The 27,408-nt window shown below is 34.9% G+C and overlaps 1 long non-coding RNA gene across 1 annotated transcript; it reads left to right on the plus strand.

The window, feature by feature from the left end:
• Window positions 1-1,139: 1,139 nt before the first annotated feature.
• LOC107986539 (uncharacterized) lies at window positions 1,140-27,068 on the plus strand. Its single transcript, XR_001743880.1, has 2 exons — window positions 1,140-1,472; window positions 26,949-27,068. It is a non-coding gene; the product is annotated as an uncharacterized LOC107986539 (long non-coding RNA).
• Window positions 27,069-27,408: the final 340 nt, after the last annotated feature.

A 27,408-nucleotide genomic window follows, 5' to 3' on the forward strand; every position in this document is an offset into this window, starting at 1 on the left:
AGGAAGTCAGTAAAATTTTCAAAGGCAACAAATTCCTTTAATGAAGCCAAGCTAACAAAGAGAAAATCAAATAAAAATCCTTTGCTTGAGAAGAAAATATCAGATGTAAGAAGAACACAGAAGAGAAATCAACAGCTGGGCTGAGCAACATACTGATAAGGCTCCGATGACTGGAGGAACACCAGGGTCCTTTGCCTCACGCCGATTTAGATAAAAGAATATGGGACACACATGGAGTGGTTTTAAGGTGCAGAGAGTTAAATAGGCAAAAAATAAAGAAGGAAGAAGCTCCCCCATACAGAGACGGATGGAGGGGGCTCCAAGCCCAGAGAAGAAACCCCGAGTGCTGGGGTGGTAGGGGGCAGGCAGGGGCAGGCAGGAACAGGCGGTTATATTAGGATACTAGGAGGCTGGAGAAGGTGATGTCTGATTTGCATAGGGCCCAGGGGATTGGTTTGACCAGGTATGTCATTCACGTAGCCAGCCAAAAAATTGGCCCTCTCACCCTAGCCTTTAAATATGCAAATGCAGGGTGCCGTGATGTCCTGCATATGTGGGGTTATCTGGGGACAGCCATGATGGTTGCCACAGGGGGTGACAAGGAGAAGAGGGCGGAATCGCCGTATTGGATGGACCCAGTTTCTAATGGCCTGCATTCGCTTATCAAAGCTTGCCAGCCTGGCCCTTCAAGCTGCTTTTCTGCTAGACAAGAAATGTTTCTGGAGCTGCTTTAAAAGAAAAAAAAAAACCTTACCAAGGGAACCCTTATCCTTTCTATCTGCCTAAAATAATTTCTTAATAATTCCTATAATAATACTCAGGTCAGTGAGCAAACCAAACTAAGCCAGAAGTCTCAGACATAGAAGTTTTCACTTACAAAATGTTTGAAATTAAAGTTCTGAATAATTGCAGTGTACTGATGATGGGGGTTGCTACTGACTCTGAATCTAGGGGCATGTGTAATAAGGAAGGAAATTGATGGAGATGGAATAAATTCAGCCAATGGAGTACTAGCCACTGGTGTGAGAAAATGGAAAATGATGTCTATCTCACAGATAAAAACTTAATAAAAAGAGTTTAAGATACAGACTGTTGACAATCCATGCTGACTCATGACCCGCCATCTAAGGATGAATTAAAAGACAGATAAATAGTTTGGCAAATGTCACTTTTTCCTTTCAGTTGACCAAAGCTTGATGAAAAACATCTGCACAACTTTGCCTCAGGAAGTTGAGATCCTTAAGAAAATCCACGAGCAAACAGGCATGACTCTGAAATCAGCTGAATCATGGAGCCTATATACTGGAAGAGGAGGGAAGGCTGTAAGGTGCAGAGAAGAGCAGGCTTAAAGGCAGAGGATTTAAGAGATAGAGGATGAGTTGCACGAAATGGAGAGATCCTACTGAAACCAGATTGCTCGTCTTCTGAAGACAATCTTTGCCAAGGTCTTGCTGTTTTTCACAGCTCTTAAGGTGCGTAGCACAGGAAACCTGCATGTTTTCATTCCAGTTCATGTAACTTGGTTAATTGACAAACGCTGTAAAATTAAGCCCCATAAAAATATATTGCTTCTCTAAAAATTTTAAACAAAAAGATCTATCCCCATACATTTTTTACCTATATGTTGGTTTAGAGAAAGACCCTTTGAGTACATTTGATGTCTTTTAATATAAACGTTTGGTCCTGGAGACAAGGGGCACAAATGATTGCATTTTTAAAAAACAACTCCATGATAATGGTAGAAAAGCCCCAAATAGGAAGCAATGGATTAAAAGAGAGAGAGGGAGAGGAAACAAATTTAGATTTGGTGAAAGAGAGAAAATACCTACACAAAGGAATACAGGGAGGCTGATAGTAGCTCTTCCTTTATCACCAAACCTAAATGACCTAAATAAACTGGAACCAGTTTATTCTGCTGCAATGAAGATGGTAATTTGCATCAAGTGAGTGATTAGATCTGTTCTGATTTCATTAAGTCGCTCTCAGCCAGAAACACACTTATGAATATTTCTGGACTCTGTTCTCTTTCCTGATCCATCTGCTTATTCATACTCCAGTAAAGCACAGTTTTAGTTTCTCCCACATTATAAAATATTGTAACACTGAGTTGGGACTACTGTACCTTTATTATTCATCTTCTTAGAAATAGTTCTGTATATTTTAATGTTAGTTTATTTTCAAATTAATATCACTTTGCTTTCACTAAAAATAACCTTGTTTTTATTGAGATTGCATTATAAAAATTTATTAAGGAAGTATAAATTAAGACAGTGTTAATAACTTAATACTACTGAGTCTTCTTGTCCAGGAGCAAAGTATGTCTTCATCTTTACTTTCACTTCAGTCTCTTTCATGCCTTTCATTAAAGTTTTTTATAGCTATCTTGATATCGGTAGTGCACAATTATTTTTGTTTCTACAATATATTATTCCATTTTATATTTTTATCCAGTAATTATTTGGATGAAGATTTATATTTCTTTTTGTTTTCTGAATAACTTACTCACTTTTGTAATCACGTTTAGTATTTTTATTTTTAGTTCAGAAAACATGTTCTCATGTTTTCCAGTTGTGTAATTTTAACATCTGCAAAGGCTGAAGTCTGCCTTCTTACCATTTATTTTGTGCACCTTCCTAACTGCATAAGCCAATATTTCTGGAACAGCCTGGCTAATAATGATAATAATGGCAGTTTTTATACCATTCATTACAACTGAAGAGAAAGATGCTGACTTTTAATTTGAAACATAAATTTTACTATCAAATTTTAAATTACTACTTCTATTTTGTTAAGATTGTTGACTTTTATTAACAATTTCTGGCCAGGTACGGTGGTGCCTGTAATCCCAGCACTTTGGGAAGCTGAGGCAGGCAGATCACTTGAGCCTAGGTGTTTGACACCAACCTGAGCAACATGGCGAAACCCAGTCTCTAGCAAAAATATAAAAATTAGCCGGGCATGGTGATGCACACCTGTAATCCCAGCTACTTAGGAGGCTGAGGCAGGAGGATTGCTTGAACCTGGGAAGTGGAGGTTGCAGTGACCTGAGATCACACCACTGGACTCTGGCCTGGATGACAGAGCAAGACCCTGTCTCAAAAAAAAAAAAAAAATTCATATGCTTTTTCTTCTTTATAGATCTTAAGAGTCTCACAAGTAAGGATGTAAACTTCAAGTTATGAAATATTCAATGCCAGATACAAACCAGTGACAACACATTGGTCAACTTCTAGTTCTAAATCAAAACTACCATGCAGCACCCACTACTATCATCCCGAATTCTCTAAGTTCTGCCGTGCCAAATAATACTTAACCTTGCTTGCTTAGAGGACAGGGAGCAGAGCTCTGAAATTGAGCTGCGTCTTTTTCACAATTAGGCTGCAAAAGAATCCATGACTTGCTCCATGTCATGATAAATAGGTATTTTTTAACAAAATAATTGATTAAATTATTCTTACCAAGCACATTAGTCATACCTGATTTATACCCAGAAGAAACGGGTCTTGAAGTTTTACCAGTGACAGGGAAACAAAAGTCAGGAATCTGGACTAATAACATGAGTAATTTCCATTAATTTCAGTCCCACAGATTCTCCCATAAATTTAGATTAGGAAAAGAAAGATATTGAAGGCAGAAATTTCCCATGACAGGTCGCATATTCATTTTGCAAATATCACAGAAGAGGGGTAAATATAAATATAAATCAAGTGCCTATTATGACAAGACCGTGTGCTCAATAAGCACGGCTCTAAGGCAAACACAAGAATTGCATCTCTGGTAAAAGATATTCTTCATTCTGAGACACCTTTTTCAATAAACAGAACTCAACAGTCCTAAGGCTGAGTAATGTCAAACTAAGTAAACAGAGGAACCATTTTACTTCAAAGCACATTTCATCCAAGAACTCCACATGCTAGAGGGGTTTTAACTTTCATTCTAAAGAATAGAAAAGGCCAAAGAAGTTAAGTGACTTTCCCTGTTTATTGTACAACATAATAATTATTTAGATGCTACATGTCAAGTCATCAAGTTTTAGAGATACAGCATTACTGTTAAGCCATATATGATGAGAAATGAGAAAAAACAAAAATCTATAGAGAATTTCATAATGAAATGATCTACTTTTATAATATATATAAAATTATATTATTTTTGTAATATATATAAAAAATATGATTTTATATATAAAAAGATCTATTTTTATAATATATATAAAAATAGATTATTTTATCACATGATATATAAAATAGATGGTTTTGTCCTCTCTCATATAATTCGTACTTACACAGGCTCTATAATTCTTCTAGGCTGTAAAATATCCTTTGTAGAAAGAGCTAAATATTAGTACATGGAAATATTTTCAGCTCCTTATTAAAATATGAGACTGCTGAAAAACAATAATTAGACTTCAATATTTAGGAGCTTTTGCATACTTTAAATGCTATGGTTTATTTTTAATATTTTCAAGATTTTATTTTTGAAGATCATAAACCTTAATTATAATTGCAAATAATAAAAAAAGCAGTGGCCAGGCATGGTGGCTCACACCTGTAATCCCAGTACTTTGGGAGGCTGAGGCAGGCATATCATCTGAGGTCAGGAGTTCAAGACCAGCCTGACCAACATGGAGAAAACCCGTCTCTACTCAAAATACAAAATGAGCTGGGTGTAGTAGCACGTGCCTGTCATCCCAGCTGCTTGGTAGGCTTAGGCAGGACAATCACTTGAACCCGGGAGGCGGAGGTTGCAGTGAGCTGAGATCGCGCCATTGCACTCCAGCTTGGGCAACAAGAGTGAAATTTCGTCTCAAAAAAAAAAAAAAAAAAAAAGGCAGTAAAATGTGCCAGTAGAAGGAAACTGATCACTGATAGCATGCTTTTAATAGGCCAAATTAAATCAGACTTTCTAGGAACAAGAAGTGAAAATGTCACTTTTTTGGCATGATGCTAATAAGAATACAGATACCATAAATCTTTGTAAAGAATTTTCCAGAACAATACATAATACCTCATTGGTTTTGTTTAACATTTCCATCTGCATTTGAAACATCTCACTCAGATTGATACCTTTCCCAATTATAATTAATGCAGAACCTGTGACAGTAGGATCTTGATTTATTTTAATTATTTTCTAAAACTTTTTCAAATTACTTTGTCTTTTATAATGTTGTTTCATAGCTAGATGGTACAAGAGCAGACATGACCTTCAATCAATATTTTAATTGAATTCATTGAGTTCGCTAGAAACTTGATCATACCTGAGTAAAATGATAAAATTTAGATTCTAAGCCACCCAGGCCAAGAAATGGATCCTATGGAGACTCATCAACAGACAGACAGCCCAGGAAGTCCACATCAAACAGCAGGCTGGACATAGCCATTTCTTCACCCGAATACTAAAGCCCTATACACACACAACACTTTAATTAGAGGATCTTCCACATTCTTTAAAGAAATAAAGAATGTTTTGTCACTCTTTTATTTTTTTATCCTTCCTGCCTGCCTACCTGCCTTTTTTTTTTTTTACTTCTTTGCTTCTCTTTTTTAAATTTTCTTTCTTTTCTTTTCTTTCTCTCTATGTCTCTCTCTCTCTCTCTCTCTCTCTCTCTCTCTGTCTGTCTCTCTCTCTCTCTCCCCTCCACTCCCTTCCATTCCTTTCTCCTTTCTCTCTGGAAAATGAAATATGTTAACAAAAATCGATGATAAAGAGACTATTTTCCAGTTCAAACTGAAAAATGAGTTGTCTTGTAGGAGAAACAAACAAACACAATGCAACATGACACTTCTTAACCAAAACTGGCCAAAATTCCAATGGATATTCACAGAAAAACCCTAAGCTTAAAATTGAGAACCTTAAATAGCTCTATCAGACAACTTATATTTCTACAACAGAAGTTTATTCAATAAAATTGTGAGCTGGAGGGAAACAAGCAGAAGTTGACAGACGTAGAAGTGAAGGATAACAGAGTATTCAACAAATGAACCATAAATTTCAGAATTAAGGGAGACTCTAAGTTATTGTTATTATTAATCAGAAAATCCATGTCAAATTACTATTTCTGCTGAAGAGATTTTGGCAACAACAATACACAGGCTACCTTCTGAACCAGAACCCCAAAAATGCTTCAAGGATTAATAAATGCAAAGTTAATTCCAGAAATATCTGGTCATCAGATCCTCTCACAGAAAGACATCCAAAAGACAGCTTGGTTCTGCTGCCCTATGAAAGTTGTTAGAGTTTATATAGACTCACTTTTGGTGAAAAGAACCAAAAACAAAAAAAAGAAACCCTAACAAATAGAGCCAGGAAAAGTCAAGAATGGAAAGTTCTCGAGCACACATGACTGATAACAAGAACTATCACAGAAGACTGCAGAAAGCACAATTTGGCAAAAAGGCCATCACAAACGTATACAAGAAATACTTCTGCAAGGACATCTGCCTTGCAACTGCCTGTCCAACCTCCAGCTGGCGCCACTCTTGTTATTGATCCTTGTAGCCAAGAATAATGATGTAATGCTCCTCATTTTTTCCTTTAAAAACCTTTGCCTGTCTTCACCTCTCTGAATATGCAGAGTTCACTGTGGCATGCACATTCCCATTACAGTGCTCTATTCCCAAATAACTATCATTTTCTTTTAGAGAGCTTCTCTCTGTCATTTAGATTGACAGCCCAAGCTGACAGATTATACTACTTATGCCTGAAGATTAATACAACTTTCTCTTCTAAACTTTGCCAAAGGGAAATGCCTAAAATAAGTATATGCCTCTGGATAATCACCCACCTGGTTGTAGCACATCAACTGAGGTTCCTGGAAACACATCTGCCTCTGATGTGAGCTGCACTGCACATCATCACTGAAATGTGATCAAGATAACTGGGGGCTTTTGCTCATTCTCTGGGAGTGGTGAAAGATCTAATGACTCCGTGATCAAAGAGGTGTGGCAAGAAGTTATCTGAAGATTTCAGACCTGCCACCTTCTGATTCTGAAGGATTAGCTGAGAGATAAAGAAAAATATCTGGCTCCCATCAGGACATTAAGTCCACTTCATTGATACACAGTGGCCACAATGTTTCTTTACTCACTCTGTGTTAGTGGTAAAATGTCTAATCCTCTACCCCAGAGCAATCTGAGATTGCTCTGGTTTTAACACTGAAGGTCCCAAATCCCAGGAAACTCCCAGGTAAACTGGTATGGTTGGCCACTCTAGATATCTGAGATAGATGTCTTCCCCTCTGTGTAAAAAAGACCTGCAGAGATGCCAACATGAGACTGTGAATAGGCTTCCACACATGCGCAGGTGGCTCTCAGCATGGGTGGAACAGAATCACACTGTTCTGGGCCCAAATCCAGAGAGGCCCTTGTTATGACACCCTTTTATTCTGAAAACAGCAAAAGTAAAAAATTTGGCTCCCCAAAACAGTCACTTTAAGAATTCTAATTTTTCTTCTGAATATAACAGACAAACTTATTTTTCACTACCCTAGCCCTGTACACTTTTAAACCGAATCATTCAATTCTGATCACTGATTTTTAGCTAAATGAGGAACACTATTTAAATAATACGCTGCAGTACCTGCATTGCACAACACAAAAACCCTTGCACTCTGTATTAGTTAATGAATCTCAGGTAAGTAACAAATTATTTTAGATGTCACTAGAACAGCTTTATTTAAAAATCCATATCATAAAAGTAAAATCTTCCCTTCATTTTATAACTTAGTCTTTGCATTAGTTCATTCTCACATTGCTACAAAGTAACACCTGAGACTGGGTAATCTATAAGAAAAGAGGTTTAATTGGCTCACAGTTCTGCAGGCTGTAGAGGAAGCGTAGTGGCTTCTGCTTCTGGGGAGGCTTCAGGAAGCTTCCAATCATGACAGAAGGCAAAGGGAGGTCACAGGCATCTCACATAGTGGGAGCAGGAGCAATAAAGCGGGGAGGAGGGGAAGGGGGCTACACACTTCTAAACTATCTACCATCTCTCCCAATTTCTTCACAAAGCCACTTCAGTCCTGAAACATTTACCAGGAAAAGTTTCTTTGTCTGCTTCTGAATATGGTTCACCCATTTGATTTTCAATTTTCATGTTCGGTTAGCCTCCATCAAATTTTTCTTTCCAGCCAGCTCTTTTTTTTGTTGCCCCATATGAATAATGATTTTTCTTAAGAAGCGGTGGAAAAGAAAAGTTTAAAATAAAGAAAAAATGATATAGTAAAATAAACATGCTGAGAGAAAGGAAAAATATATATTTAAAGATGCATTTTATAGGGGAGGAATATTCATATGAAATCTAACTGGATCCATTAGCGGCAAAACACCAGATTAAAATATCGGAACACACCAGAAAGGTATATTTTATTAAATACTACCATAGGCATTTGCATTACATTTATCTCTTCTTTATTTCCATAGGGATGGCACCAGTTATGTATTTGGATATTAGAAATTAATATTTAATGACAGCTCAAAAGAGGAAGACCAAAAATGGAGAATCCCCCCAAATTAAGGAAGCATTCTGATTAAGAAGAAAGTATGCTTCCCAGAAGCACCCTCTAAAACTGATCTCTTTTAGTGTTGTATATAAAAATTATTTTGAAAATAAAAATGTGATATTTAGTAATGGTTAGGAATTTATATATATATACAACAGGACTTCATGGAGTAAAGTCTATTATCCGTTGCTATTTTCTGAAAATATCATACCCTCACTTATTTCTGATTTAATTTTTTCAGTTTGTTACAAGCAGGCATTAACAAGATGGAAATCATCATTGAGATCCACAATTCTCTATGTTCTATTAATTATTTCAAATGCAGAGCTCTTTTTGTTTTTTGCTCTATCTTGTATTTTTATACAAGATATACTTAGTAACATAGAGAGTATTTCTATACTTAGTGATATAGAAAGTTTATATTTCTTTGAAGTTAACAAACTTTTCACAGAGTAAGGACCATCAATAAGAGAATGTTCTGTGTAATGCTGTAGGGCCTCTGTTCCCTGAATCTTGAATCTTGGGAAATATTCATTCTCATAGTTTCTTAACAGTGCCTTCCCAATATTCTACAACCTTTGGGCAAAACAGTAAATACACCCTAGATGTACTAGAAAAAGAAAGAAAAGGAAGAGGAAACACATTAAGGATAATAGAGAGACCAGAGTTTTCATTTTCAGCAACTTGTTCTAAACTATAATTGATACTTTCTCCTTCACCATTGATTCCCTATTTTCCTTACCTTCGGCCACCTTCAGCTGGTGAAGATTTTCCTCTGGCGGGGTGATTTAAACCTTTATCCTTTGTTCTGAAGAAGCCTGTGTAGGATGCAGTAGTATTGTGTTAATGTTTACTATTGGCTATAGCAGTAGAATGAAGTATTCCCCGGGCATCCTTCCCTCCACCACCCACCTCCACCCTCCATCCCAGTCTTGGTTTCCACGCATCCATTTGGTTGCAACAATCCCCTTTCTTCCTGATGCTCAACATTACTTAACACAGAATTTTTTGCCTATTGTCCTAGTAAATTCAAAATGACTAGGCAGCAATTTCTTTTTTTTTTTTTTTTTTTTTTTTTTTTTTTTTCCTGAGACGAGTCTGGCTCTGTCGCCCAGGTTGGAGTGCAGTGGCGTGATCTCCGCTCACTGAAAGCTCTGCCTCCCAGGTTCACGCCATTCTCCTGCCTCAGCCTCCCGAGTAGCTGGGACTGCAGGTGCCCGCCACCATGCCTGGCTAACTTTTTGTCTTTTTAGTAGAGACGGGGTTTCACCGTATTAGCCAGGATGGTCTCCATCTCCTGACCTCGTGGTCCACCCGCCCCGGCCTCCCCAAAGTGCTGGGATTACAGGCGTAAGCCACCGCACTGGCCGACTAGGCAGCAATTTCTCGTGCAAATTTAGGGTTGAGAGAGAACACACATTTCCCACTCTTACCTTTGTCTTAGGGAGAAAGAAATTTATACTGTCTAGTAAGTGCATTCTTTGCTCATTCTCTTACTCTTCTTTTTGGATTGGGGAATTTGGGAAAAGGAGTTTTATGATACCCTGCTCAACTTTTGGAGCTCTCCATTAGAGCAACGTATCTTCCAGTTACAGATGCCCTCTCCACTATCAGGAGAAACCACTTTGCCCCTGTCAGGGAGGCCTGTGATTCCAACAACTGGGAGGACAGACCTATGTACTTCACCAATCAAGGTTAGAAGGTCCAGCGTGGCCACATGCCTGCACCACATCTGTCTCTCCAGGTTCGGTCTCCTCTGAAGCTGGTATTTTCCCCATCTTACGTCTGACTTCTATACCTATCTTTCAATTAGTTCCAAATTTGGATTTGGGTATGTGGTCATGGTTAACCTCTCCTAAAACCCCACACTACTGATGAAAAGGAAAGATCATGTCCAAAGCAGAGCTTTGATTTTTTTCTAGGTGGTGAAATAGGAATCTTCCCAATTGTTCCTACTCTTGGGTTCTTAAGTGGAACAAAAAATTAGGGAATTAGGAACAAAGTTCATGAGAGAAGTTTACAGTCTTAGAATCTAGGCCATTCTATAAGAAAATACAACTGTAGTTTTGTTCTATTTAACATATGTCAATTCTCAAACCATCAAGGACACAACATAATATATATTGAGCTGTAAAGGTTTTTTTTTTAGTCTTATGTGATTTTGTAGGTTATATAGAGCATCTTTCTTTCTTACTGTTTAATAAGCCAACTAACTAAAAGAATACTTTTCACAGGTACTCTAGAAGATAATCACTTTAAGGCATTAGCCTAACATTTTGGGAACCTGGAGTAGTTTTTTGTTATTAATATTTTCTTAAATTGATTATGGTGCTGTGATGTGGATGTGTTAAGATTTATACTGTGTAAATGAATGACTGTAAACTGAAGGGCTACATTTAATTAAATTATCAAAACCTGTGCTATAATCGCCCTTTTTAAGGAAAGAGCTATTTTCTAACTCATTTTACTGAATAACAAACTCACTGAACATATGTAAAAACTTACCTGTGAGAAAATTAGTATTTATTGTATTTGTTGCGTCATGTTATAAGATTATTATTTAAGCATAAGCCATTAACATGGGTAATTTCATTTTGTGGCTTTAACGTAGGTTTCCCTACGTTTCAGATAAGAATGTTGACCCAAAGAAGTGCAGGCTTCAAATATATCACTTTGATTTGGAATGAGTTCTCTGAATATTTAAATAATATCCAAGTTGTATACATTTCTAAAGTAATTACTACATTAGATATATGGTTGTTAAACTTTAAAAATAAAAATCAATTATAATGGAAAGCCTCCTTAAGTACTTGAACTATTTATTTTGAATAAAATTGTTCAAATTATGGTTAAGCATATGTTATTAATAACTTCAGTCTTAGATAGACGGTTTTGAATTTATCATTATGTATGTTAGCCTTAACTTTTAGTTTTATGATGACATTTTTATTGATTTTCCTCTGATTTAAATTGTATTATCCTTTAACCATTTGCTACCCTAAAAGAGGAGAAACAAATTCCATTCTGATCAAGTAATAGCTAGTTCTTTAATAATGAAAAGAATTCCACACACACCATTTGATCCCTTCTTCTGAAGCTGGTTGGTAAGCTCAAAAGACCAGAGAAAGTTTTGCTGGCAGCCATAGTAGCTGTTGTAATAGAAATAGGGAAGATTTCAGGGTGAAGGAGAAATAAAGTAAACTACCTTTATTCTTTATTTTTCTTGTAAAATAGGGTAATGGTAGGGGACGAGAACATGAGAAGATACATTAAATCCAAATTATATTCCTTTAGGATTCCCAATTGCTTACCTGTACCAGCATATCATATTTCTTTTTATCCTTCAAAAAGAGTTATTGTTTTTATTTTAACCACTTTTAAAATGTTGTATATTTGTTTGGGATATAATAACATGTGATTGTAGTTCTGGGGCAAACAATAAGAATCATTTTAATGTGATCAATTCTTTCTCTGATTTACTATTGTAGTAGAAAATGTTTGTAATAGCAAGAAAGACTAACTTTATGCTCTGATGTCCTGTAGATGCAATTTTCCATGCACTGAGCCAAAATCTGAGTTAGAACACATGCAAAATGTTTTACAGGGCAGTAGTAGAGTGGGAAGTGGCCAAAAGGGAGTAGAAGGAAAATCAACTTGGTGTTGAGACAGACCTGCAATTGAATCCAGACTCTTCCACCTGGCATCTTGGTTTCCAGTTTACTATGGGCAAGATACTTAACATCCATAATCCTCACATTCCTCATCTCTAAAATGGAAATAATAAGAACCATCCAATAAGGTTACTGTAAGCTCTAAGCACCTAACATATCTGGCACTTAGAAGGGATTCCATAGGTATTAAAACACTCCTCGCTCCCTTTCTCTATAAAATATTTTCTATTAATAAGTATATTTTTAGTGAACAATTGATGCCAACAAAGACAGTAAATAGAAAGTATAGAGGATAATAACATTTCTTCCTACATAATTTATTTCAAAATAAGAAGCAAATAGATGACATATTCAAACCAAAGTCAATTTTTGCTGAATGTTTTTCCCATCTTGTAACACTTTACTTCTTGTAACACTTTACTTCATTAACCAGCCTAACTGTATACAGCTTCCCTAATCCTCCTGCGATTGTTAAAATTCTTGGCAGCTGGATGTGCTAGAGATGAGAACAGATAAACTCAATTATAACCAGTGAGGCATGCTTTATTAGGATACTATCTTGCCTCTTACTACTTGGATTTAGCTTGTCAAAACTAAGAAATGAAAGGCTTAACTTTCTGTAACGTTTCCCTCTCATTTCACTTGTAACAGTCTTGAATATCCTCCGAAGTGCTTTTTATACCCCAGAAAAGAAATCCACATTTAGATATTTTTTAAATTTCAATGTCAAAATATCAGTAACATATTAACTTTACCAGCCAAAGTCAGAGCCAGATATAAATGATTCTTTAACTTTTTATCAGAAAGTAAGTTGAACCCAACAATTTTTAATTTGTTTATGAAGACATTCTGTTAGCAACACTAGACTCCCAGAGACACAAAGAAAACTCAAGTCAACCCTACTGCCCAACCCCTGCATCATTGCTGTTGCTTTTTAAAAATTCAGATAATATATAGCATCCTTGGGCCTGGTATTTAGAATAAACTGATCTCTAAGTTCTCTTTTAATTCTAAAATATTGTATATACTATGATTGTCTTAAGTAATTATTAGGCACCATACATGAGTTTGCCCTATTAAGGTATAAAATAAGCACAAAATAAAATCTTTAATGTAGGAGATTAAAATCCATGTTTCCCTCCAACCTCAGTCCTTGACTAAAAATAACTGAGTTCACTTGCTTAAAGCACAAAGTAAGTGAATTTTCATTTGAGTTTTTACCTTAATATATACACTATGTACCAGGGAGTGAGGTTGCAAAAGTAAACACGATAACCGTGATCTCTGTCCTATCAAAGCTTAAAACCTAGAGTGGGAGACAGGCAATTAATTAAAGACTTGAGATAAGAGCCTCCCTGGGACAAATCTTTGAATGTTTCAGGTTTCTGGCTTGGACAACAGAGTGAATGGCAATTATCATCAACCCTCAAGAGGGAGCACACAGAATTTTAAAAGATTAAAAGAAAAATGATGGGTTCAGTTTGTACTATATTGAGATTTTATTGTCTTTCTTAGAACTTTAAAAAATATACATTTATATGTTTTAAAATATATAAATGTATATGTTTATAATTTATATAAAATATTTTTAATGTTATATAATTTATATAAACTATATTAATATTTTTATATAATTTATATAAAATATATATTTTAAAATATATTTATATTTTTTAAAATATAAGTATATTTAAAATATATAACCTTTCTTGAATCCTAATGTTTGTGCTAAATTGGAATCATTAAATACAGAATTAAGGAAAGTGGGATCTCCTATGGACATTTTTTTGAAATTCCAATAAGCCTTCAACCATATGAGAGAGAGAGAGACCATGTTCTAGCACTGGCCAAAGCAAGAAAAGTCTCAAATGCCAAGTTCCTTCTAAGACACTGGTAAGACACAGAAAGTAAAATCTAAGTACAATTAGAAAGATGATTTTGGGGTTGGGGCCTATATCTTACTCCTTTAAAGATCAAAGTTGAAAATTACTTCTGTGATTGGAAAGAATCTAGTCATAGAACACTTAACCTCAGAGGACCGTGAACTTGTCTCTTCATTTCATCTTTAGTCTCATGAGTTGGAAGAAATATTTCAGTCAGACACTAAAATGTGTGTCTTTCTAACTGTTCAGTAGTAGTGGGAGAGCAAATTAAAGGCCTCTTTTTGACTAGGTTGGACACAAGCTTTCTCAAAAGGACAGTAAAAATAGACATTGCTGTGGGAAAAGGAGTTCAAAACTTGGAACAGGGCTTTCAATTATCACCTAAAGTTTGAGTTGAATTAACACAGGAAAAGTTAAACATACTGTATTTTATTCATTCTAACTTCAAATTATTTCATAACAAAATAGTCAATGACCTCTGAAATTGGTATTTTAATCAGCCATCTTAAATTTACTGTCATTCTGGTGTCATTCCCAATACAACTGTTATGCCTAAGCATGTACCAACTTCATAATAGCTATTTCTTTGGTCGCAATTTTAATAGTTTTGTGCATTTGGGGCATGTATCTTGAGTGTAATCGCCACAAAATGCCCTCAAAAAGATTGTTGTATGATTCAACAATGAATAAAGTTACCATATACCCAGAAAAATGTGGAAACAGTCTAGTGTAATGTAAGGTAAATGTCTATGTCTAATAATTACAAAATAACTTTTTCAATAAGTATAAAATAAAATTTCTAAGTGATAAGAAAGCATTGTATTACTGTTTAATTGGCAATGTATTTTCCTTCTTAGTCATACAAAAAAGAATATTGCCAGTTACAATGAAAGGCATCTATACTTGATGAACTGCAATAAGTTAACAAATTTCCAAAGCATGTCATTGTCTCTTCAAATATTTAATTGTGGATCTGTTTAATGTTATTTAGATCTAGTTGATTATTTCAGGTTATTTTGGAAATAAGAGTCTAGATCTCAGTGAATCCTTTTTGTTTTCAAGGTAGTGTGCTTGTTAGTGCTACCTTGTGGCAGAAAATCCTAACTATTCTGAAAGCATTTAAAAGGGAAAACAGTTTCAAAAGTGCTGAAACTTTAAATTTTAAAGTAATACATTGTGGCAAATGTCCCAGACACTTTTATGGGCCTGGAAGAATAGTTGCGCTGGACTGTACAGAAGAAGTGATATGATATATTTAGATTCTGATTAATTTTTTCCAGGGACTTTAGAGAAATATTTCTAAGTCAACATTTGTCATTTAGGAGAGATGTAAATTTCAGTAGTTCAAGTTTAGATTAGTAGCAGATTATTTATGCATGCTATAAATACAGAGCACCTATTTCTACAAGAACTACGCTGGATTTGTGGCAGATGCAAGAATAAAGAGGCAAAGCTCCTGTCATCAAGGAGCTTATAGTCTGGACAAGCTAAAATGTCTCTACAAATAACTATAACTTGAAATGATAAAGGGTTTCAAAGGACACGTGAGTCAAGGACTCTGGCAGCAAGATGCTGACATACCTTTCTATTTTGAATGAAAGTAGAAAAGGTGGAGAGATCAGACAACTAATACACTTGTGTAACATGAGGGGCTACTTTTAAAAAAGAATTTTTTTTCAAAAGCAACTTCAGTTTTCACTTTTAAATGACTTTTTAAACTAGAGGAATAAAAGAAAAATAGAAAGTATCAATATTGCTTTGACTTATGATGCCATAGCATTAAAATTTTTAAATATAATTTAAATTTGAGTTGTTTTTAAATAAGATATCTCCTCTTACAATGCATTAACATCTTAAGATCCAAGTTGAAGTCATTTAAATTTTTTAATTTTTTATCTATGATTTCAAGATTCTTGCTGCAATAAATAATCAGTTTTGTACTAATATGTTAATAAAATTATTTCGTTCCTTTTCTTTGTGTGTACTTCAATTAAATACATTTTTATGTTCAGATACTTCTTTGATGATTTCTTTGCTATCACCTTTGTATGGACCTCTTCATTTCACTTTCTACCACTTTGCTTCTTACCATTATTATTTATCTTTCTAGAGAGACCATGAGTCCTTAAGGCAGAGACTATATCCTACTCACTTTCCCTTCCTCATTACCTAAAAGAGTGTGTGGAATTTAGCAACAGTTCAATAAATGTATCTCGAATAAATGCATGCATGGAAAATGCCTATACTAACAGAAATCTAAAAATATAAAGAAAGCATAATTTAAAAAATCTTGGTCTGGTGCTGTGTATGTCAAACCTCAATTCCAAAAGATTATACATTTTCCCTATATCAGATATTTTTAATTTTGTAAAATACTATTACATTTTCAAATGTGACAACTTGATACATGGAAAATCACTAAACAGAGAAACAGGGTGATACATGAATTATTTGAATTCATCTGACTGAAGTGAACCTGATTAGAATTATAAACTGTAATTGAATTATTTTCCCAGCAAGCTACTGAAAAAAGGTGTGAATACTACACAAATACTCTTTATTTATTGCAAATTAAGCTTAACTGAAGTTTGTTCATTTTCATTGCTTCAGAACTCTTACTGTTGCTATTGACAACCAACTATCGGTTCATTCTACAGATAGATACAGAGATAAAATAACTTATACAGATAAATAATTTTTATAATTCATTCTAAAAATGGGTGGAAAGTTAAAGGATAGGGAAATACTTATAGTATAGGGATGTAGAAGTAAATGCAGTATGCTAGGGTTTTGTTTTCATAATGTCCATGCATCCAAGAAAACACTGTAGTTGTTAATCTTATATAAAAGAGAAAGCAGATTTAAGGTTGATTTATTTAATGTTATAAAGAAAAGTGATTTTTAAATAGTGATATGGAAAAAATTATATTACTTTCCCACTTGATATAAAATAGTATTATGAGAAATAGTGATTTTTTAAAAGAGAAAGGGTGTTCAAGTTATAAATATGATTTGTTTTTATAGTTCTGTATCAACTAGATGTAAGTTCTTTGGAATCAGGAACTATATCATTCACCTTTTTATCTCCAGGACATAGTCTAGTGTCAATAATTAATTGACAAATGAATGAACAGATCCCATCATTAACAAGAGCTACATTCATGATGTATTATACTAATCTATTGAGTATGTATTTATGATAGACTTATTCCTTATAAGAAACACTAAATCAATTTGTGTGTTAAAACATATTAAAATAAATCAGAATTGAATAAAGTAGTGTTTGAATACTTCCCTCCCAATCCTTCCTCCTCCCTCCCTAGAGTCATTAACAATTTCCTGAATGTATATAGTCCCATCTTTTTCTATGCTTATTTAAATACATATACATATATTTAAACAAATTATAGATATTTAAACACATAGATATATATGTACTTTTAAACAAAAATTGAATCTTGTTACACATAATGCTTTTTTAATTTTATTGAGAATAAATTCATATACCATAACATTTATTCATTTTTAAAATCATTGGTTCTTAGTGATTGTACAGTTTTATACAACCATTATCACATTCAAAGTTTAGAACATTTTTATCCACTGAAAAAGAAACCTTAGCAGTCATTTCCTCTTCCCCCAGCCCCCACCCCCAAGTCATAGGCAACCACTAATCTATTTCCTGTCTCTGTAGGTTTTCCTAGTCTGGACATTTTTTAAATGGAATCATGCAATATGTGGTCTTTTGTGTCTGGCTTCTTTCACTTAGAACGTTTTGGAAGTTTATCCATTTTGCTGCATGTATCAGTACTTCCTTTCCTTTTATTATCCAATATTATTTCATTATATGGGTATAATATATTTTGTTTATCCATTCATCAGTTAATGGACATTTGGGTAGTTTCCACTTTTTGTTTCATGTGAATAATTCTGCTATGAACATTTGTGCACAAGTCTTTTATGGACATTTGTTTTCATTCCTCTTGGATAGATACCTAGAAGTGGAATTGCTGGGCCATATGGTAACTTTATGTTTAACATTGACAAACTGCCAAACTATTTTCTAAAGTGGCTACACCATTTTACATTCTCAGCAAACTTAAGAGTTCTAATTTTTTCATATGCTAATCAATACTTGCTTTTGTCTATACTTAATATTACTGTCATTTTACTGGTTATAAAGAGGTATTTCATTATGGTTTTGATGTGCATTTCCCTAATGTCTAATGATGATGAACATCTACTAGTGTGCATATGGAATATTCTTTTATCTTCTTGGAAGAAATATCTATTTCAAATCGTTTGACTATTTTTAATTGGATTATATTTGCTTTCCAGTTATTGAGTTATAGGAATTCTTTATATATTCTGGATACAAATTCCATATTAGATACATGATTTCCAAGTATTTTATCCCAGTCTGTAGATGGGATACCACTTCATGTAGATGGTGTTGTCTGAAGCAAAAATTTTTAATTGTAATGAAGTTCAACTTGTTAATTATTTTTCTTTTATCATTTGTGGTTTTGGTTTCATATATAAGACGTCCTTGGCTAATCCAAGGTCATGAAGATTTGTTCCTATGTTTTGTTTTGTTTTTTTTCCCTAGGAGTTTTATGTTTTGACTCTTACATTTTGTTCATTGGTTCATTTTGAGTACATTTTTGGATATAATGCGAGATAAGGCTCCAAATTCATTCTTCTGAATGTGGATATCTAGTTGTCCCAACATCATTTGTGGAAAAGAATATTTCTCCCACTGAATTGCTTTATTATCTTGTTGAAAATCAATTGACTACTAAAGTAAAGGTTTATTTTTGGGCTCTATATTATATTATTATGTTGATCTACATGTCTATATTTTTGCCATCACCACACTGTCTAGATTATTAAAGCTTTACAGTAAGTTTTAAAAGTAGATGGCAGGGTGCAGTGGCTCATGCCTGTAATCCTAGCACTTTGGGAGGCCGAGGCAGGTGGATCACCTGAGGTCAGCGGTTCAAGACCAGCCTGGCCAACAAGGCAAAACACCCATCTCTACTAAATGTACAAAAAAATTAAGCAGGTGTGGTGGCACGCACCTGTAATCCCAGCTTCTTGGGAGGCGGAGGCAGGAGAATCTCTTGAGCCTGGGAGGTGGAGGTTACAGTGAGGTGAGATGGTGTCACTGCACTCCAGCCTGGGTGATAGAGCTAGACTCTGTCTCAATAAAATAAAAAATAAAATTAGAAAGTGTGAGTTCTCCAATTTTATTTCCATTTTCAAGAATTTTTTGGCCATTCTGGGTCCCTTACATTTCCATATGAATTTTAGGATAAGCTAGTCAATTTCTAGGGGAAAAAAATCCAACTGGTATTTTGGTAAGGATTGTATTGAATCTACAGATCAATTTGAAAAATGTTGCTATTTCAACAATATTAAGTCTTCTGACCTGATTCATGAACTTGAAATGCTTTTCCATTTATTTAGATCTTCTTCAACTTTTTCAACTATGTTTTGTAGTTTTTATGGTACAAGTCTTGAAGTTTTATTGGTAAATTTATTCCCTAGTATGTTTATTCCTTTTGATGCCATTGTGAATGAAATTATTGTGGCAATTTTATTTTTAGATTGTTAGTTGTTACTGTATAGAAATGTGATTAATATTTGAATATTAATTTTGTGTCCTGCCATCTTGCTGAACTCATTTATTATGTCAAGAATTTTTAATTAATACATATTTTCAAAATTCCTTTTTTTCACTTCACAGTATATGGATATGTCTGTCTTTACAAGTCAGTTCATATACGCCTTTTTAATTTCCATTTTAATAGTTGTCTGGTATTTCACATTATGATATAACAAAATATATTTATCCATTCTTCTATTGATAAGCCTTTATACTGATTTTTCTTATTTTTTGTTTTGCTATCACAAAAAAACTAAAATAAACATTTTTAATTATACCTGTAACTACTCACTTGTCCTTATCTTTTTATAGGTCAGACTCCTGAAAACAGAATTGACTGGTCGTAGTATACATTTATCTAAAATTTTAGCAATTGTTCCAAAATTGTTCCTCAAAAGAGTCCAGATTTTTCTCTCATCAAAAGACATGGTAGATTCATTAAGAATGAATATCAAGGCCGGGCGCGGTGGCTCACGCCTGTAATCCCAGCACTTTGGGAGGCCAAGGCGGGCGGATCATGAGGTCAGGATATCGAGACCATCCTGGCTAACACGGTGAAACCCCGTCTCTACTAAAAATACAAAAAAAAAGTTAGCTGGGCATGGTGGCTGGCGACTGTAGTCCCAGCTACTAAGGAGGCTGAGGCGGGAGAATGGCGTGAACCCGAGAGGCGGAGCTTGCAGTGATCCGAGATTGCGCCGCTGCACTCCAGCCTGGGGGAAAGAGAGGGACTCCGTCTCAAAACAAAAGAATGACCATCAAAAAGTGAGCAATTCCTCATAATTGTCCTTTAGCTGGGTTTAAAAGGTCCTCTCCAAAACAGCAGCAAGACCTCTTCTGTGATAGTTAAAGTATAGATATTCAGTATTGCTGGTGAAGGCATCTTTCTTTTTAAACACTTTTAACTAGAAATAACAGAGAGGAACTAACATGCTGAGAAGCTTTCTGACACTTTTGCTAGCAGATTCTTAGGGGAATGTGGTTCACTAGGTCTCAAAATATAAAGCACATGTTTGCAATTCAGAAACACTTGCAAACTGGGTATAGCTGTATACTCAACAAGGACTTCTCAAAATAAATGATTACTCGAGTTTGTATATACCTACAAACTGATACATATGTCATCTATGTGAATTTTGGTGTAAAATGGTTAAACCCTCTTGCTGCTGCCAAAGGAGGTGTATTTTAATCGTATTCCAAAGAAAGTATGATGGTGTCACCCACCAGGAAATGTCTGTTAGTTTACACCCCTGCTTCTAAAGAGAGTTTTGAAGTACTTCTCCATTGCCTCACCAAATTCCCATACTTTGTAGAATTGTGCAGAAAAAAAACAGAATGGGAACAAAATGTTTGATAGGAATTACTTAACAAAGACTATATGCTGAGTAAGTATATTAGCAAAAACTAAGATCTTTCTGCCTTATTAATAAGAAGGAAGAAGTGAACTGAACCCCACGTAAGGAGACACTGGGAAATGAGAAATGCAGGCCATCCCAGCTCAGAACTTAGAAACTTTGCCACTAGATTCAGGTTTATCAGTGATTTTGTTTTTATTGAGAAAGAACTAACTAAAAGCAGAATTCAAGGTACAGGATTTCTAGTTGAAATGTATGTATTTGGGGCTAAATTAACACTAGAGTGAAAACTGAATTGCTTACAATTTGTCAAGATTTCTTTGTTCTTAATCCAAAATGTGTTTTTAGCTTTCATCTCAGCTCCAAAGCACATAACTGCTAAACAATTTCCATATGGAAGCCATTGCGTTAAGAGTTCTGGACAAAATAATGATACATGGTTGCCTTAAAGGAGTTTACTGTACAGTTGGAAAGATAGGCATGCAGATACAAAGATATAACACAAGGTCCTATAAAAATCTATAGCTCATTGTTTGCAGAGATTTTTCATGCATTCTACATTTAATAGAATCTCTATTCTACAAACAATATAAAGCTGTAATTAACCCTTTAAAGCTATTTGCCAAAGTAAATGTAAGTAATTACATTGCTTTACTTAATTTTTAAAGTAGCAAAGAAAACTCTTCCAACTAAGTGGATTCATCTTGTTCATTGTACCTCCAGCATTTATCACGACACTTGTTATAGTAAGGATTCACTATTCCTCATAAATATATAATATATACAGTAATGGCACCACATAACAATGTTTTGGTTAACAATGAACCAATATGCAACAGTGGTCTCATGACATTATAATGAAGCTGAAAAATTACTATTGCCTAGTGGGCTAGTTATTATAACATCATAGAGCATAACCTATTCTAAGTTTAGATTTGTGTAGATACACAAATTGTGTAGTAATTGCCTACAGTATTCAGTCACATGCTGAACAGGTTTTTAGCCTAGAGGCAATAGGCTATAGCATATAATCCGGTTGTGTAGTAGACTATGCCATCTAGGTTTATAAAGTAGTTACATAAAGCCTAGATGGCATAGCTGACTACACAGTGTACTTACATAGCCTACTACACAGTGCCCTAAAGTTTATGTAAATACACTGTACTTATATAACCTACTACACACTGTACTTTCATAACCTACTATACAGTATACTTACAGTTTATAGTACTTAGTACACTGTACTTACATACTATGCCTAAAGATATATAATCCCCTAAGGTTACATTTCTTAGAAGAAATCCCTGTCATTAGGTGACACATGAATAAAATTATTATTTGTCAATTCCATGAAAATTTTAAAAGATTAGTGGAAATAATTTTTAAAATTCAGACTAATGTATAAAAACATAAAATAGAAGATAAAGATGACACAAAATTCAACCAGCTTTGTAAACAATCTAAAAGTACATTGTTTTGCTCAGATTTGTGATGGCATTCTTAGAAAATTATTGTAATTGGAATTGCTATGTTTGAAGTATATTTTCATGTTGCACTGCAATACTACTCTCAAAAAAGCTGACATTGCTTTACACTTCATTCACAAGTATATGAAATTCCTATTTCCCCAAAATGACCCAGAACTTTGTCAATGCTTCCTTTTTGGTCAACCTGATATGTGACAAATAATCTTGCATTGCTATTTTCACTTGCATTCCTGTGATTACAAAATAAAGCATTTTCTGTTCATTTTCCTTTAATACTTCTTTATGAATTGGCTCTTCTTGAAATTTTTCTCATGAATATGTAAGTTCTTTATACAGCACTATTATATAGTACCTTTTCCATCATATATTGCAGTTTTTTCTGTTCTGTGCATTTGCTTTTAATGCCATACACTATATTACTTATTATCAATATATTTTATTATTTATGTAACAAACCAACAAAAATTTTCCTCTTAGTTTGTGATTTTGATGTCATTTCAAAGGCCATTAACAACCCAAGACAACATAATTATTTCTCTGTAATATTCCTAGTTTTATTTTTTTCTTTAAACTTCAACATATCAAGTGTTTTAATGTAAGCTTGAAGTATCACTTCAAATTTTTTTCCAAGCAGCACAGTTATTCTAATGTTATTTGATAAATAGGCTAATAGCCTTGAAATGCTACATTTTTAAGACCAAAAAAAATTGTAACTGTAATTTTTTTAGTTCTATGTTATTTATCATTATGTCTATTTTGACAGTAGTTCCACGGTTTTCATACTACGGTATCTTTATAATATCTTTTGTATTATAATACTTTTTGTATTTGTATTTTGTTGAAAGCCTCCTCTCTTTTAGGTGAGCATTGCAGAGTTTCTGGACCATTCTTTCATGTTTATTTATTCTGATAAATCTTAAAATGTTTTAACGAGGTATTTCTCTCCAAATCTTATTAGAACTGGTTCTGCAATTCTCAGAATGTTGTTTACAATTCTCCATGAGGTAGTTATTTTGCTCAATTTTATTTTAACATAATTTGAATAAGTATGGAAGTCTTTGCAAGAAAAAAAAGGAATAAGTAGAACAACAAATCTGAATGAGAAAATTCACAATGTCAAAAATCTTGTCAACAAAGACCCCTAGATCTTTTCTTTCCAGGGAGCCTTAGGGAAAACCAACAAAAATGAAAACAGTGCTTTTCAAACCACCAGAGGGCAGTGCACTCAAAATAATGGATATCAGCAATCCTGAACTAAAGCCCAAAGTTTCCCTTCTCTTAAAGATAAAATTTACATAACAATAGACTCTTGGTTCATTTTAAACTCTGAAATAATTACAGTCCTTAAATCTGATATTAGCAATATGACATTTATTTATAATACTTAGAGAATATTCACAGAAATATAGTCACCACTGAATTTTTCCATATTAATATTATAGTCTGCCTGCCCAACCACTTTGCTAAAGATCTACATAAAACCTTAAGGTGTTCTGTATGAATGAGAATTCCTTGAAAACAGGAATTGTGCTTTCTCACCAGTCGTTTCTTCTGTACATGGACAGGACTCAGTTTATTGTAATAACTCAATATCTAATGAATAAAAAACAAAATAAATGATTTGTAGTCTCGGCCCTACTCAATTTCTGCATTAATTCAAATGAAACCTGCATTACACTATGAGCTATTGCTACCCTTAGGCAAGTGGGTTCTCTGCCCTGAGCCCTGCACTTCATCTGGGCCTCTTCCAGCAACAACCCTTCTCCCTCTGGCCAGGATTACTCTCCTTCCCATGGGCAATGCAATAGGGCTACCTTTCACATCATACTCTGGGTGTCTCAGACACAGATTCACTGAAGCCCCTGTGTAGTTCTACTTCTCTAGGCCCATCTTACCCAGAGTAGATTATGTAATGGGTGTGCACAGGGCAGACCCAAAGAGTGGCTGAAGGGGTGCTATTTCTTTGGGCTGTGGACAGAATTTTATTGTGCAATCTGGGATTTATGGACCAGACAGATTCAAGGAGAATTTTTTTCTCTTTCTTCCTTATGTTTCTGGGTCATATAATTTTTAACAATAATTACCTATTACTTGTATTGTTTTTAAAACACAGAGAGAAAGGTGTAGAAGTAAAATCCACTTCACTTGGGGACAGATTGGATCTACAGAATGATGGGACAACTGACCTTGTATATCTTTCTGGCATGGGGACTGGTTAAACAACACTATCATCAAATGAAATTTGCAATTCTAGAAAAGGAATAGATTTATGCACATGGCATAAGAATGCTAAATTCTGTGAAGAACAAGTTGTATTGAAGACCTGTGTAATATCTATGTGCAACTATCTAGAAAGCAGTCAGAAATTTTTGTGGAGATCTCAAAAGGAAGGTTTTGACTAGATCATGCATTTTTGAGAGGGGTCTATGTATAGCTAACAAGCAAAAAATCTACTGAGAAAAAGTGTAGAAGATACAAAAAGAATAAGACCAAAGTCAGTACCATTTTAGAATAAGAGAGAAGAAAATGACATGTTAGAATAAGAGAGAAGAAAATGACAAAGAGCATTCACTCAGGAGAAGGATCAGAAAAGCAGAAACAAAGGAAAAGTTTCAACAAATACAAAGACTTCTTGATGTCAAATGGAACAGAAAAATCATATACAATACATTCTTGCAAGCACTGTCTGGATTTGTTCATCAGGAGGTCACATGTGACCTTGGAGATAGTCATGTCAGTGAACTGTCAGAGTGAAGTCAGAGAGCTGTAGGCAGAAAAAGGAAAGAGAGGTAGAGAAATAAAGCTAATGGAAGGTCTACCTTTTCAAGACTTCTTCCCTGGAGATGATAAGGAGAGAAAGAGTGCAATACCTTCCAGCTTGATGGAAGAGGCTACTTTCAGAAGAAGCTGTAGGTTAATAATAAGCAAATCTGAAAAAAATGTCACCTGAAAAACTGCTCCCATTGGAAACACAAATGCAACCTCTATCTCTGCTATTTTTCTGTTCTTGACTCCCATCCAGCAACATCCATCATCAAGTGGTATCAATTAGAAATCAAAGATTAAAATAAAAGAACTAATTCCTGTCAACAAGGTAGAGTTTCTCTTCCATGAAGATTAACAATAATCTTTTATTCATCATCTTTTGATCATTTTCTTGGAATGTAACTCTGGTAATTGAAATCTCAATTTATTAACAAGACAATAGACAACAGGGTTCTAAGCAGTAAGTAGTAAGCTGATACGCAAATTTGCTAATGCAGAATCAGAAGCTAGTATAAGAATCCTTAAGGAAGTCAAAAAAAATGTAGGCTGACTAAAGTGTTTTAGTTTCCTTTGGCATTTTCATCTTGGCTTTAACTTCTCTTCTTACAACTAAATTTGTAAGTAATGAAGATTTAGTATTGATTTGTGCCAGCATGGATTTTCATGGATTTATTATTGGTCTAATTCAAACACCACTTCTTGGCTCTTACCAGAGTCACTTTCCTCTGGCATATACTGCAGACTTCCCCTGCCCTGCTCCTCATTGTTCTCTTCTCTCACACCCAGCTTGAACCATCAGCCATTGCTAATTGAGCAGTTTACATCTTGCCGCTGAGTGGACACTGCTGTCTTTATGTAGATGTCCACAGGAAACAAGGCTGTGAACTAAATCTGATACATTTTAAAGTCCAAGAAAGGAACCCTAAGAAATTGAATCCCATTCCCTTCTTAACTGTTTCAAGCACTCTCCAAAACAACGCCTTTCTGAGCTCTTCTGTGAGACTCTCCACTCTACTTTTTGAAACTCCATTTGCTTCTCATGATATCCCACCACCCTCTCTACCCACGCCCATCCTTCTAGCACAGTGCCCTAAATCCGATTCATTCCATCCATTTAATACTCTGGGGCTGGGGACCAAGGGACAGTCAACAATATGACTAATGAGGAACATGACCCTCCTTTCCCAAAATAAATGCTATGTGAGTTGGGGAAAAGGAAAGTGGGTACTACAAGCCTCACAGGGCCCTTAGAATGCTTTGGGTTCCCAGCTGCAGGAAGACCTCAAAGGACACACCTCTAGAGGACAAAGAAAAATTGTCAGACAGCATAGCTTGAACCCATAAGGAAGCATGAAATAGTTTCCCAGCTGCCTCCAAGCTGCTTCGTAATTTGGGAGGCACCTCTGCCTCCTCTGATACAGTGAGTCACAAGATTAAATAGAGCAGTAATTGTACGTCTCAAGGGTGGATCCCTTAAGAAAAAATAAGTTTGGAGATAATTGTTCTACCAAGTCCTTAATAAACTTCTTTGCCAAATACCCTTGTTCTCAATTTCCATTGGCGGGGGGTGGGGCAGAAGGGGGTGGTTTATGCTCCACTGACTTCTGCTTATTTCATTTAGGAAGAAAATCCAAAATTCATTGTGATGTGATGCCCAGGATACCAACTGACCCATTTGACAGTCTTGATGAGCCATCTGTTTTTGTTGTAGCCAAAATCTTCTCATCACAGCATCCTATGGTGAGCAAGAGATACGTTTTTAGATGTTATCCTTGTGCATTTATACAGTACCTGTGATATGATTCAAGGTATCCTAAAGGGATTACCAACACTTGTTCAGTTATTCATTTAACCAAACTATTTGACTGTCTTGCTGTAGTCATGGGAATTGTGACTGATATTGGGAATATCACATTGAATAAGACGTGGGTTCCTGCCTAGGAGCTTACAGAAAGTAAATAATTAGCCCTGAAATAGTGTGACTAGTGCTGTGATAGAATGAGGCAAAAGGAGCGACGGGGAAAGAAAGGAAACACACTTGAAGAAATCAGAGATAGCTTCTAGAAGGAACTATCACTAAA

This window comes from Homo sapiens, chromosome 6 (genome assembly GCF_000001405.40).
Source record: "Homo sapiens chromosome 6, GRCh38.p14 Primary Assembly".
Taxonomy (NCBI): Eukaryota; Metazoa; Chordata; class Mammalia; order Primates; family Hominidae; genus Homo; species Homo sapiens.